Source organism: Homo sapiens, chromosome 6, assembly GCF_000001405.40.
Source record: "Homo sapiens chromosome 6, GRCh38.p14 Primary Assembly".
Taxonomy (NCBI): Eukaryota; Metazoa; Chordata; class Mammalia; order Primates; family Hominidae; genus Homo; species Homo sapiens.
The window spans coordinates 36,042,022-36,056,970 of NC_000006.12; the positions used below are offsets into that span (position 1 = coordinate 36,042,022).

General features: G+C 38.9%; 1 protein-coding gene across 18 annotated transcripts in view; it reads left to right on the forward strand.

Moving 5' to 3' along the window:
• The window catches only part of MAPK14 (mitogen-activated protein kinase 14), a 96,407-nt gene that overhangs the window by 14,214 nt on the left and 67,244 nt on the right, over window positions 1-14,949 (forward strand). For all 18 annotated transcript variants that reach the window (XR_007059209.1, XR_007059210.1, XR_007059211.1 and 15 more), the window contains exon 2: window positions 10,678-10,807. Coding sequence is in view for 14 of the 18 variants with exons in the window: in XM_017010299.3 (XP_016865788.1) it covers window positions 10,678-10,807 (130 nt within the window). In the remaining 4 variants the exon portion in view is untranslated. The remainder of the gene's footprint in view (window positions 1-10,677; window positions 10,808-14,949) is intronic.

The window sequence follows — 14,949 nt, forward strand, 5'->3', positions numbered from 1 at the left end:
GAAACATTTTCAGACAAGAGAAAACATAAACCAAGAGAATAGATATGAAAAGGACTGTTCTGACAGGAGGAACATCTCAGGTAGGGTGAACCCAGTTGTGGTTCTCATTCTTGTTGTGCTTCAGACTCACTTGTGGAACTTTTAAACATACCTCTGGAAATTAAGAATGAGATCTGGAGTGGGACTTAGGCAGTTGCATTTCTAAAAAGTCTACAAATGGTTCTTTAGGTAGTAGAGAGCTGTTGGAGTTTCTTGAGTTGTGAACTGTGGAGGAAAATTGTTTTAAAATTGGTCTTGGTGGAGTGTAAAGAATGGATTAGAGGAAACAAATGTATTGCTTTGTCAAAGTCTGGTAAATTTATGTGTGCCTCTGTTCATTTTGACTCCTCGGCTAGATTTCTTAGTTCCTTGAGGTCATAAACAATCAGCTTTTAAAGCTTCAGTGAAGGAATATCTTTTTTTTTTTTTTTTTTTTTGGCTGGGTTGGGGGACAGGGTTTTGCTCTGTCACCTGGGTGGAAGTGTAGTTACGCAGTCAATGGCTCACTGCAGCCTTGAACTCCTGAGTTCAAGTGATCTTCCTACCTCAGCCACCCAAAGTAGCTGAGACTACAGGTGTGTGCCGCCATGCCCACCTAATTTTTTTTTTTTTTCGTAGACACGAGGTCTCACTATGTCATGAAGTTGCCCAGGCTGGTCTTGAACTCCTGAGCTCAAGCTTCCTCCTGCCTCAGACTTCCGAAGTGCTAGGATTACAGGTGTGAGCCACCGCACCTAGCAGGAAACATCTTATAAAATCATTCTACTTTCATTTGGAACTTGCAGGCTCGTGCCTGCAATCCCAGCACTTTGGCAGGCTGAGGCAGGTGAATTACTTGAGCTCAGGAGCTCAGGATTTCTAAACCAGCCTGGGCAACATGGTGAAACTTTGTCTCTACCAAAAATATAAAAAAATTAGCCAGGCGTCGTGGTGTGCCTCAGTAGTAGCAGCTACTCGGGAAGCTGAGGTGGGAGGTTTGTTGGGGCCTGGGAAGTCAAAGCTGCATTGAGCCGTGATCATGCCACCACACTCTAGCCTGGGCAACAGAGCAAGACCCCGTCTCAAAAAAAAAAATTAAAAATGAAAGTAAGTTTCATTAAAAAATACTATATATGTAATTACAGTGGTGAAATTGTTTTGTGATTAAATAAATACTGTTGTGTTGACATTAAAACAAGATATTTGAGAGTTAGCGAAGATATTAAAGCTAATGTTTTAAATTTTGAGTTTTTAAAGTCAATCTTAAATCTCCTGCTACTCTGAAGAAGATAAATGTATATAATTTTAATTTTTCTATTTCACTAGGTTTGAAGAATATTTTTTGAGGTTCCTAAATCAAAACTTAAGTTCCAATTTTTGCATAAAGTTGCCTTTATTTTCAAGACGTTATTTCCAAAATGGCAGGACAGAGCATCCGCTTCAGAGCAACAGTGATATTTGCACATTTACTTGAATATGGAAGGAAGAAAAGCTAGGCTTCTGTAATAGAATGTAACATGTGCAGAAAAATATTTCCAGTATGTCATTTATTGAAATTTGTTCCAGGTGCTACAGGTAAAGAGAAAGTTCCAAGTTAGTGGTCTTAATTATTTAGTTATTTAGAAGGCAAGTTTTGAAGACTATTATTAATTATCCTGATTCAGTTGGAAAAAAAGCCTGAAATTGTATGATCCGGAGAAGAGGTGTCATGTTTTTGCAAATTATTTCTTCTCACTTTATAGATATTCTTTTTTCTTTTTCTTTCTTTTTTTTTTTTTTTTTTTTTTTGAGATGGAGTTTCGCTCTTGTTGCCCAGGCTGGAGTGCAATGGCACAATCTCAGCTCACCACAACCTCTACCTCCCGGGTTCAAGCGATTCTCCTGTGTCAGCCTCCCAAGTAGCTGAGATTATAGGCATGCACCACCACACCTGGCTAATTTTGTATTTTTAGTAGAGACGGGATTTCTCCATGTTGGTCAGGCTGGTCGCGAATACCCAACCTCAGGTGATCTGCCCACCTCGGCCTCCCAAAGTTCTGGGATTACAGTCGTGAGCCACCGCACCCGGCCCTCACTTTATAGATATTCTAATGAATTTAATGTATTAATGAGACTTTGCTAATTCAGTGTAACTACAGATTTCAATATATTTAAATATTTCCATTAACTTCCAAAAGTAAACCAAATTGTGTTTATCTTCTTAGAAGTCATCTATGACCATTGAAAGAAATTGTAAAATCACTTACGATCCCCACAAATTACTCAAAGACTTGCTGAGTGATTACTCATTCTTCATATTCTGTTGATGAAAACACAGATTGTTTTTTGAGGAAAATCATGGTGCAGTCGTTTGTACTTTAATACTCTGTGGACATGGGCACTTGTCCAGCACCTTACCTTTCTTAAGAGGTTGTCTCCCTTTCTCTACTCAGCTGATGTTAAATTTATTGATCTGCCATTACCTTATAACAGAAAATCTACAAGTCAGGTGCCCATCATGGAATATAAACACAAGTTCCCTATATCTCTATACCTATCAAAAGCTCAGTTGACAGCCGAACATGGTGGCTCATGCCTGTAACCCAAACACTTTGAGAGGCTGAGGTGGGAGGATCGCCTGAGGCCAGGAGTTCGAGACCAGCCTGGGCAACAAGCAAGGCCCCATCTCTACAAAAGAAAATTTTAAAAATAATAAACAAAAAGCTCATTGATAGCTCCAGTCATCTTTGGAGGATTGTCTGAAGAATATGGAGCTTATCTGTTTTTCTAAATGTATTTAAGATTTCCTCTTGGATTAAGTCTGTCAGAGAGGCCAGGTATGGTGGCTCATGCCTGTAACCCCTGTACTTATTGGGAGTCCAAGGCAGGAGGATCACTTAGCCTAGGAGTTCAAGACCAGCCTAGGGAACATAGTGGGACCCTGTGTCTACAAAAATCAAAATAATTAGCGAAGCTTGGTGGCACATGCCTGTAGTCCTGGCTACCCAGGAGGCTAAGGTTGGAGGATTGCTTGAGGCCAGGAGGTTGAGGCTGCAGTGAGCCATGATTACATGACTCCACTCCAGCCTGGATGACAGAGTGAGACCTTAAAGAAAAAAAAAAAAAGCAACACCGTAATATTTTGTACTCCTACCCTCTTTGCTAATAATGAACTGTATTTTGGCCTTACGACAGCAATCTGTACTGATGGATGCTCTAAAAAGAAAACCATCTGAAACCCACTATTATATTCTTTTAAAGATGTTGATTAGGACATTTTTACCACATTATATGTCTCCTTCTTGAACAGACACAGAATGAACTTTTCCCTGGTTTATTACAGGAATAATTATGCCTCTCTTCAGCTCTCCTGAGTACCTGGTTGGTTTTTATTGTATGGCTTCTGTGATTCATGTCCTAACTGATTCTGTTCTCTTTGTTAATGGCTTTAGTGAGCTTTGAGCCAAATTTGAGGCCTACCTCTAATGGGTATTTAAAAAGGACCTCTGGCCGGGTGTGGTGGCTCACGCCTGTAATCCCAGCCCTTTGGGAGGCTGAGGTGGGCGGATCACGAGATCAGGAGATCGAGACCATCCTGGCTAACACGGTGAAACCCCATCTCTACTAAAAATACAAAAAAACTAGCTGGGTGTGGTGGCATGCACCTGTAGTCCCAGCTGCTGGGGAGGCTGAGGCAGGAGAATGGCGTGAACCCGGGAGGCGGTGCTTGCAGTGAGCCGAGATCGCGCCACTGCACTCCAGCCTGGGTGACACAGCAAGACTCTGTCTCAAAAAAAAAAAAAAAAAAAAAAAAAGAAAGAAAGGACCTCATGATATATGCTAACCTCAGCTGTACAGACTTTCTTATTTTCCCTTAATCACTTACCATTTTGTCAGGTTTTATATATATAATTCCAGTCTGCTTTAAATCCATTGTGAATAAAGGAAGGTATACATCAATAAATTTAGAAGTTAAACAGAATTATATTAGGATATATGAAGAATCTAGTAACCCACATTTTCTATGTGTGTGTGACACAAGGGGAGGCAAGTATGAATGTGTAACAAAACATTGAAGTTTATTTAATGATTATCCTTGTGTGTTATGTACTGGATTCACGGTCAGCAGTAGATGAGTGAGAATGACATCCTAATATTGTAATAACTGCTTCTAATTTTTATATTTCTTTCAGTTATTTTTTACTATACCAATGATTTTATAAAATGTGAATTAATTTGATAATTTTGGAAAAGTTCATGTAAATTCACAATTGGGGGAAAAACTTGTTAAACAGTATGTCCTGAATTTTAGTTTGGAGAACCTGTTTATCATAAAGATAATTTCATTTTATGATGTTGTTCATGAAAACAAGGTTTTACTTGTAGCTCTACTTTTACAGATGTGATTGAGAGGCGTATTTGAGCTTTGCCATGGACCAAGCTCCTTGCCAAACCTACTATAAAAGTTATTACATTTAATCCTAACATATCCAACAGATGAAATATAAACATAATTCTCATTTCATGAAAGAATTTAATTAACATCCTCAAGATTATATAGCTATTAAGTGGCAGAACTGGAATTAAAATCCAGATAGTCTAATTCCAAAGTCCCAGCTCTTATTTAATCACTCTGTTGGAGTATTATAAACATGTAATAATAAATTGTGATTGTTGGGGTCTATAGGGTACTGATTAATTCTAGCCTGCCTTTTGCTGAATAGATTCAGGAGTCAAATAGAGATAAAAATATTTACTTTTATTAGTAAAGCTGGCATGCAGAGTGCCTTGGGCGGGCAACTCAAGTGGGCTTCTTATTTCTTCCCCAGTTAATTGAACTTGCACACTTAATCAGTCAGATCAGCTAGAAAACTGCTGCTGTTCCTTGCTCCCCAGCAGGCTTACCAATGGAGGAGAGAAGAAAGTGTTCAGCTTGCAGGTGGAAGGCAAACTCTGAGGTGGGAAGTTGAAGAAGCTGGGTCCCACAGGGGCAATGGCCATTTTTCCAGTCTCACCAGAGCTAGTTTAGAGAACTGGGTTTAGAGATGAGTATACATTTACTTGCTACTTTTGAGAGGGAAGAAGTTACTAATTTATGGGTTTGTAGGAGCAATGGGAGTGGAAAAGAAGAGAACCACCACCCTCTTTTATGTGAGATAAGGAAGGAGTCAGTGAGGGTGTTGTGACAGAGTAATGGCTTCTTAGAGGTCCCTAACAGGTTCCTGAGCAGGTGACTATTTAAACCAATACTTGAAGGATAAGGATTTAGCTATGGGGTGGGATGGGGGCGGAGGAGAAGAAAATCCTAGGAACCAGGAGCAGCCTGTCTGAATAGTTAAAAGAACTGAAAGGAGCTAGCAGAACATAGCAGCTGAGAGAGAGGGAAAGAGTAGCACAGGAACAGGTGGAATAATCAGTGGTGACCAGATCACCTGGGCCTTGTAGGCCATCATGAGAAATTTGCATTTTACTCTGTATGCCAAGGAGATTCCTTGAATGGTTTGAAGGAGGGGAGTGTTGTGATCTAATTTGTACTTTTATTGCTATTTTTTATTTTTCATTTTTGAGACAGTCTCACTGTATCTTCCAGGCTAGAGTGCAGTGGTGCCATCATGGCGCACCACAACAAGGTTGAGCAGCTTCAGCCTTCCTGGGCTCAAGCAATCTTCCTGCCTCAGCCTCCCAAGTAGCTGGGCATGGTGGCCCATGCCTGACTAATTTTTTTTTTTTTTTTGAGATGAAGTTTTGCTCTTGTTGCCCAGGCTGGAGTGCAATGGCATGATCTCAGCTCACTGCAACCTCCACCTCCCTGGTTCAAGCAATTCTCCTGCCTCAGCCTCCCGAGTAGCTGGGATTACAGGTGCCTGCCACCACACCCAGCTAATTTTTTTAAATATATATTTTTAGTAGAGATGGGGTTTCACCATGTTGGCCAGGCTGGTCTCAAACTCCTAACCTTAGCCTCCCAAAGTGCTGGGATTATAGGCGTGAGCCACTGCGCCTGGCTGCCTAATTTTTAATTTATTTATTATTATTTTTTTGAGACAGAGTCTCACTCTGTTGCTAAGGCTTGAGTGCAGTGATGCAATCTCGGCTCAGTGCAACCTCCACCTCCTGGATTCAAGTGATCCTCCCACCTCAGACTCTCAAGTAGCTGGGGTTACAAGTGTGTGCCACCACACCCCACTAATTTTTATATTTTTTTAGTAGAGACGGGTTTCACCATGTTGGCCAGACTGGTATTGAACTCCTGACCTCAAGTGATCCACCCGCCTTGGCCTCACAAAGTGCTGGGATTACAGGCGTGAGCCACTGCACCCAACCCGTTTTTTATTTTTTGCAGAGACAGGGTCTTGCTATGTTGCTCAGGCTGATCTCAAACTTCTGGGCTCAAGCAATCCTCCTGCCCTGGCCTCCCAAAGTGCTAGGATTACAGGCTTGAGCCATTGTGCCTGGCATAATTTATATTTTTAAAAGACTGTATTGGATGCATTTGGAAAGCATATTAGAAGGAGGTAGGCCAGTGACATGGACTAATATGATATTGGTGAAATGAAGAGCAGTTGACTTTGAGACGTCTTTTGGAGGTGAAAACCATGAGACTTGCCAATAGATTTGAATGAGGACTGAGGAAAGGGAGAAATCAAGGATGACAATCAAATGTCTAGCTCGAGCAACTGGATGAACAGTCCATTTATTGAGATAACAGAGCCATGGAGAAGAATAGTTCTGGGTGTTTTGAACTTGGTACGCTTCAGGTGCTTATGTGTCTTTCTTATGGAGACATCAGGGCTCAGAGAAGAGATTTCAGTGAGAGACATAAATTTGGGAGTTTTCAATATATAGATGGCATTTAATTTAAAGTCATGGGCATAGATGAGATTATCTAGAAAGAGAATGTGGGAGAGAGAAGAGGGCCCAGTACCAAGTCCTGAAGAACTCCAACATACAGAGTTTGAGTAGAAGCAGCACATGCAGTGGAGACAGAGATGGAGCTGCCAGAGGGGTCATAGAAAACCAATGGAAGTGTTGATATAGACTCCAGGATGGACAGTATTTAGAGAAAGTGGTGACTATGTCAATTACTAATCTTAGAAAAGTGGATTTGGTAGCAGAGGTCATTAATGACCTTGAGAAGAGCAGTTTCAGTGGAATTGGATTGAGGAAAGAATGGGATTGAAATGAGTCAGTTGTGTAGATGTGTGCTTCTCACACCTTAAGAGGTATATTAATCACCTGGAAATCTTGTCAAAAAGTAAATTCTATTTTAGGGCCCAAGATCTCCTTTCCTTTCCTTTTCCTTTCTTTTCTTTTTTCCTTTCCTGTTGTCTGCAGAGATCCTGCATTTTCTAATGAGCTCCCAGATAATGTCAATGCTGCCGGTCCATGGAGCACACTTTGAATAGCAAAGGTATAAATTAGTGGTTCTCAAACTGTAATATGTATTAGAATAACATGGAGAGCTTGATAAAATACAGATTATTAGACCCACTTCAAAGTTTCTTATTCCATTAACTCTGGGGTGGTACCTGAGAATTTTCATTTCTTATAAATTCCCAGGTGAAACTGATGCTGCTGATCTGGGAACCTCTGGTGTAGGTGACTTTTTTGGAGAATTTTAACTGTGATGGAGAACTGTTAAGGGAAGTCTTTTGTTTGTTGGCTGAAGGCGGTAAACAAGTAGAGCAAATTTATGCTGATGAGAATGGTCCAGTAGATAGGGAGACACTGATGATGCAAGAGAGAAGAGGAATGAAGAAGTGAAATCCTTGAGAAGATGAGGGAGGTGGCTCCAAAGCATGTATTGTGGTCTTGAATTTTGATAAGCAGGGGCATATTCTTAGTTATAGCAAGAGGGAAGGTGGAGACGATGGGTTTATAGATTTGGGGCTAAGCAAATGGAGCTCCCCTCCTGATGGTTTCTGTTTTCTCAGTGAAGGCAAGGGCAACTCTTGAGGGAAGAGGGTGAATTGGAGATTTGAGAGAGAACATGTCAAACGATCATTTTCGAGTAGGAAAATGAACTTACTAGAAGAAAATGGCTTTATTGAGAGCCTCTTTGAGATTAAGGTCAGAAACTAAGAATGAAAATCTGATTCTACAGTCTTTCTTGTTCAACCTCAGTTCCTTGGATTCAGTCATGGAGAATTAAGTGGTTGAGATTACCCAAGGTTAGACTTTATCCAGGTGAGTACATCAGAGAGACAGACAGACAGAGAGAGAGAAGTGCAAGGGAGTGATTATAATCATGGAACAGGAAGGGAGATGAAGACAGAAGAGGGCTGAAGGATAGAAACAAGCAATGACAATGAGGTTAACAAATTGTTGTAGTCAGGGTACAAGTAAACTAGAGGTAACTAGGTTTTTGATGAAAAGCAAATGCTGCTGGCATTCAAAATTTTGTAGGTGGGGCAGTTTTTGGTAGGAATAAAGGTCTAGAATGTGACCATGAAGATGGCTGGGTGTGGTGGAGTTTCCTAGAGAGGTCAGGAAACAGGATGTTGGGTGTGCCGTTCACCTGGATGTTGAAGTTGCCAAGAATGATGACAGAAGTTGAGAGTGTAGAGAGATCTTCTGGATAGAAACTAACTTTTCAATGAATGATGGAAAATTTCAGGTCAGTGGATACCTGCAGCAGAGAGGGATAGTTTATCAGGGTTGTGAGCAGGAGGTATTTTATAGAACAAACGGAAAGTAATGGTCCTGAAGTGGTAACGGCTGCCAAGGAAGACTCCTACGCACCTGCTAGCCAGGAGGTATCTGGGCTATTAGAGAATGCTTTCTAATGGCAGGGCTATAAGAGAAGCAGTGTCTTCTAGAAATGGCCTAGTTTCAGAGATGGAGGGGAGGTTCAGAAAAGAGGTTGAAGATTTATAGGAGTTTATCACAAATTGGGATTTGAAGATTGAGGGTATGCCATAAAAGTTTGGGAGTGAAAGGAAGGGCACTGGAGTAGGTACAGAGTTGTAAAAGCAAGTTTGGCAGGCAGAGAGTTTGGTGATAACAGATGACCAGAAAGTCTTGGATACATGTTAGAGACTGAGACAAACTGGAGGATGAGGCATAATGGAACTGGCCCAGACAATTTCTGTTATTACTATTTTTTTTTTTTTTTGAGACCGAGTTTCACTCTTATTGCCAGGCTGGAGTGCGATGGTGCAATCTCAGCTCACTGCAACCTCCGCCTCCTGGGATCAAGTGATTCTCCTGCCTCAGCCTCCTGAGTAGCTGGGATTACAGGCACCTGCCACTGCGCCTAATTTTGTATTTTTAGTAGAGATGGGGTTTCACCATCTTGGTCAGACTGGTCTCGAGCTCCTGACCTCGTGATCCTCCCGCCTCGGCCTCCCAAGGTGCTGGATTACAGGCATGAGCCACTGTGCCTGGCGACGATTTCTAAAAATAATTAAAATACACATCGCATTTTTGCTATAGATGTCCTCCATGATCTAGCTGCTGCCTGCATCTCTTACGTCATCCCTTCCCACTCTCCCCTTGCTCCCTGTGCTCTACCCACACAGCCTTTCTGTCTTTCTGTCACTCACTCCAGCATGCCATACGTTTCCTACCTCTGTTTCTTTTTTCGTTTGTTTGCACTTGCTCTTCTGAGAGATAGCAGAGTCAAGTGGTCAGTAGCATAAGCTCTGGATCCAGACTCCCTGCTCTGCCGCTTTTAAGCTTTGTGACCGTGGTCAAGTTACCTAACTTCTCTCTGCTTCAGTTTCTTACTTGTAAGTGGGAGAATGATAATAGTACTTATTTCATAGGGGATTCGGGGAAATACAAAAGCTGAATTGAGACAAATAAATGTAAAGGGCTTAGAACAATTTCTTGTATGTGTGGGTAAAGACTCTATAAACATTAATATTATTATTATTTCTTCTGCTTGAAGCTCTTTTTCTTATATATTTATATAGGGAATTTAATCATTATATTGTTTCCTTCTCAGCTCAGATGTCATTCCTCAGCCATCCTAGCTAAAGTGGTATAACTCCACTGGCTTTCTGTCACTCTTTATCCCATTACCCTTTTATTTAGTCATAGTATTTTCATCACTACTTGAAATTATTTTATTATTCTGTTCTGCTCTTCCCCCATTCCCTGAAGGTGCCAAGTACTTTGTAGGTGCTCAAGAAATATTTGTGGCAATTTATTGTCCTGAAAACATGGTTTCCTGGGCCTCGACTCTGAGCAGGCAGCAGATGTGGCAAGGTGACGACAGTGAGGCCTAGGCAGGGAAGACAGAATTCAACTCTGTTTATTAATCTGTTGGCTCATCTAGATCAGGCAGCTGCCAGTTTTTGTAAATTTTATTAGAACACAGCCACACCCATTTTAAAACTTATTTTCTGGCTGCTTTCCTCATACAACCACAGAGTTGAGTAGTTGTGACAGAGGTCTTACTTACAAAGTTGAAAATATTACTATCTGGCCCTTCATTGAAAAAAATTTGCTGACTTCTGATTTAGATACATAGAAAAGACAAGGAGAAAACACCAAAAATAATAACAGAAGCTTTATTTGGATAATGGGATAATAGGTCATTTTGCTTTTTATCTTTATGCTTTTTTTTGGTATTTTGTTATAGACCCTTTAATTTGGAAATAGCCTTATAAATACCCCAAAATAATATTTAGAACAGCTTTTTAATGGTGGGTTTTTTCCCTTTTTTCTCCTTAGTGCTGCTTTTGACACAAAAACGGGGTTACGTGTGGCAGTGAAGAAGCTCTCCAGACCATTTCAGTCCATCATTCATGCGAAAAGAACCTACAGAGAACTGCGGTTACTTAAACATATGAAACATGAAAATGTAAGTTATTCATTCAAGGAAGAATACATTTTGATCTTGAATAGACTGGGGAAAAATGTTTTAATTACTGCAGATGGAAATACGCTGGAGTGCATCAAACGTTGGTCCCTGCTCCTTGTCCTGGGGTGTTAGTGGCCACTTGGTTATGTCAGGTCAAAGACTTGGAATGAAAGTGATGCATCTTCCTGGAGTTTTAGTTTTACTCAAAGATTTTTAGAGGAGAAAGAACTCTTTAAAATTTTAAAATTAAAGGATATGTTATGAAATACAACACAAAATTCACAATAATTTTTAAGAGAAAATATTAAAAAGAAGTTATGTATTCTTTGCCTGGTTTTCCTAAGGCTATATTATGAGAATATGGGAGTCTGTGGCTATTAAAAGACAAAATAGCCACAGACTCCCATATTCTCATAATATAGCCTTAATATTTTTAAGTGGAAAAATCTGAGAAAGAGTGCCTTAGGCTCACTGAAAGTCCTATCAGAGATGGCTATTATTTTATATATTTGTTAATAATTTTTCTTTTTTTCCAGATTCACGTATTTTAATAAATATGTCAGAGGCATTGTTTAAGTTAAATATAACTTTTTCTTTTTTACCAATTTGTTGATTCAGTTGCCATTCTGCAAAGATGCTTACAAATTCTAATACGATAAATAAGTGGATATAATTGGAATACTAACTGAAAGTAAAAAGACAGTTGACTGAAGACACTTATTTTACTGAATTTCAAAATCAAGTTATGAATTTCTGTGACTGCTATATGAAGGGTACTGTGAAGTTTGTAGCATTGTGGAAACAATGGCCATAGAGATTTCAAAGTCCTCTGGCTGTACTGCTTGTTACCTTGTGGAAGAAAATTCAAAATCTGTGAATTTATTATTTGACTATTTAGACTGTTTTAGTAATTTAACTTCTTCATAGCGAGAAAAAAGTCACAGATAAGTGACTCTTCATTAGCGTACATTTGTTTCATTAGTGCAAATTTCTTCTAAATTGAGAACATTAAGACTTAAATTTGTAATTGGATTATGGATGCCATTATAATCACAGCTGCTGCTTTTTATTTTCACATTTTATTTTGATTGTATGCTATTGAGGAAATCCTATTTCTACAGACAACTTCTATTCCTGAGTATAATTTTACTTAAGTAGCTATGTGCAAACCAGAGTTTTAAGAATGTTCAGTGTGAAGCTGCAGCCTTCCTAATCAGTGACATGTTTACAAGAAGTTGAGATATGCGGAAAAAGCTGGCAGCAGAAACTTTATTCCTAGGTCTGCATAAAATCAAAGTGGCCTGGCAGCTTTAAGGGATGTGTTTGCGTTTGATTTTTAACACATTTAAGTGTGTATGCTGTTTTTCATTACACATTATTATATGTGACAGAGACAGTGTCACAGCTTTGCAAGTATAAAGGATATTTTGAAAGTGAAATGCAAGCCAAACATTTATGGAACCCCAGAGCACCTTTGGGAGCCACTAGGATCCTATTGATGTGGCTATGCTAATTTAAGAACATCTGGTTTAGGAGATTATCAGTGCTACACTGATTGTTTTGCTTTTCTTCATAAATATGTTAAGCCAATGTTTAGGGATCATGGTATTAGAAAAATAGGATTTTAATTTCTATACATTGTTTTATAAGTGGCTTGCTTACTAGCAGTCTTTTTTTTATATAAAGATGTTTAAGTTCTAACAGTTGGTGGTCACCTAGATATCAGTGATTTGTTATTTAAACAAAATAAGGCACATGGCTGAATGTCTCATAGTTCTCTATTCCATTGGCAAATGTTTGAAGCCAAAAGACTTGACTCAATGTAGAAAAATTCCTGCATTTTAGCCTATTTTGAAAACATTTGTTAGGTGCTTATAATGTCAAAGTAGTTTTACCCAATAAAGAACCAAAACTTCCGGTAAGTTTAATTGAGGGTTTTCAGAGAAATTCATCTCGTTTACCCTCCTCTTCTTTTTTAAAAAATTACTGTTTTGGGTCACCATCCAATTTTTATAGCGGCCAAACCTCCCACAGGCAGCAGCAACAGGCGCTTAAAACTTGTGAACATTTTAGGTGTTGGTAACAAATACAATTTTCAGGTGCCAGAGGGCACATGTGATCTTTTACACAAAAATGCCTCTGACCCACAATCGGTAGTTCATCTTGAATTGTCTCTTCTGTTAGTGATCATGAATAATAGATAAACATTTATTAGGTGAGTGACTGAAGCTAGGGGATGTCCTCTGTGACTGTGAGAGTTTCTCTCTGAACAAAGTTAGTTGGACCATTCCTGATTGAACTTCTGACCTTGATCTCGTTAACACCTGCTCTAAGGAAAGATTAAAGGGAGGCAGCCTGCCAGCTGCATCCTTTGCTGTCTGGGCAGACACTACAGAGATGGCCCATATATGGGCCTAGAGATCTGTACATTTTAGAATTTAAAAATGATCAAGGAAATTGTTTTGTAAATTTTATTTGGGAGCCTTAGATTTAACCTTACCATTGTAGACCAAGAGATTGTTTTGGTGTGCTTTTGTTAAATATGCTAAATATTGTCTCTGGATACTGAGTTAAAGTATTTTTTTTTGGATGTGTGCTAATTTAATAAAAATACGACTTAATATTTGCCAGGCTTTGGACCATGATGGGATAATCATTAGAGATATTTGCTGCTTATTTGTATTATGAATGTCTTTTCTAAAAATTTGATTCCTGGGTTACTTTGAGGTGACTGAAGTCATGTAACAGCAGAAGGAGTTAAGGAAATAGACTAAAATATGACTTGATTTAGAAGGGAATTTCCATTTAAGAAATGAGAAATGGCTGGGCGCAGTGGCTCATGCCTGTAATCCTAGCACTTTGGGAGGCCAAGGTGGGTGGATTGCTTGAACCCAGAAGTTTGAGACCAGCCTGGGCAACATGGCAAAAACCAGTCTCTATTATTATATTAAAAAAAAAAAAAAGAAATGAGAAATGAATAGATTCCTAAAATATTTTCCAGATCTATTTTAATGCTGATAAGCTTTTGTTTTACAGTATTTTCCTTATGATTAATATTCATAAGTATGATTAATGGAGTGAGGGATATTTTGTAAAAACCCATCAAAAATTTAAGTACTTTGATTTAGCATGGGTAGTTTTAATCTCAAAATTGTTATTTTCGGTGTGCTTATGTTAAACACATTAAATATTGTAAATATTGCCCTTTTTAGGAAATTAAAATTTGGTAGGGTATTTACTAGTTGGCTTTTCTCTATTTTTTTTCAGGTTACTTTATTTTTCTTCTTGCAGTCATGGTTTTTAATCATTTGAATAGTTGAGCTTTATGTCTCATATTCTGTTAATGGAAGTAGCTGCTTCAGATAGTTTGCTTAGGTATATTGTATTTTGTAATTGTCTATTCAACTGTGTGGGCTGTGGTCACCACTTATTTTGATGATCCACAGTGGGTCAGCCTTTTGTACTAGGCACCTTCAGATACATTGTCTGCTCAGTCTTGCTGTCAGTACTGTGAAAATAAGCAATGATGTCCTCATGTTTTTCATATGAGGAAAATGGGACTCAGAGAAGATACCAAATGTATTTGCCAATTATTATTTACATAACAGCCATTCATTGAACTCCTGCTGAATGCCAGGCTCCATTCCAAGTGCCAGCGTTATTGGAATGAAGAAATTATAAGCTCTTGGACCCAAGAAATCACAAACTGATACTGGGGTTCAAACTTACAGCTGCTTGGTTCCAAAATGTCTGTTGTGTTTTCAGTTTGAAATTGGAGTTTTTATTTGAAAATAGTTTTGACTTTTGTCTTTTGAGGTAACTCTTGCATGTGTAAATCAGATCTCTAATGATTTAGTTTTATTTCCATAGGAGGATTTTCACAATCACAATGGAAACACTGTAAAACAATGTAAATAGTTTTAAACTTTTCTATTGTTTTGAGGAGATGGGCATCTCAGATAACAAGAATCATTGATTAGAAAATATTGGAACGGTGAATAAAGTTAGCTTCTAGACCTCAGTTACCTTAAGTAGAAGTGGGTATAAGGGAGAGTGATTAAAAGACCAGAGGTCTTAAGCCAGGAGTATACCAAACTCAAGGGAAACGATTATGGTTTAGATGGAGAAGGTAAAAGGAAATG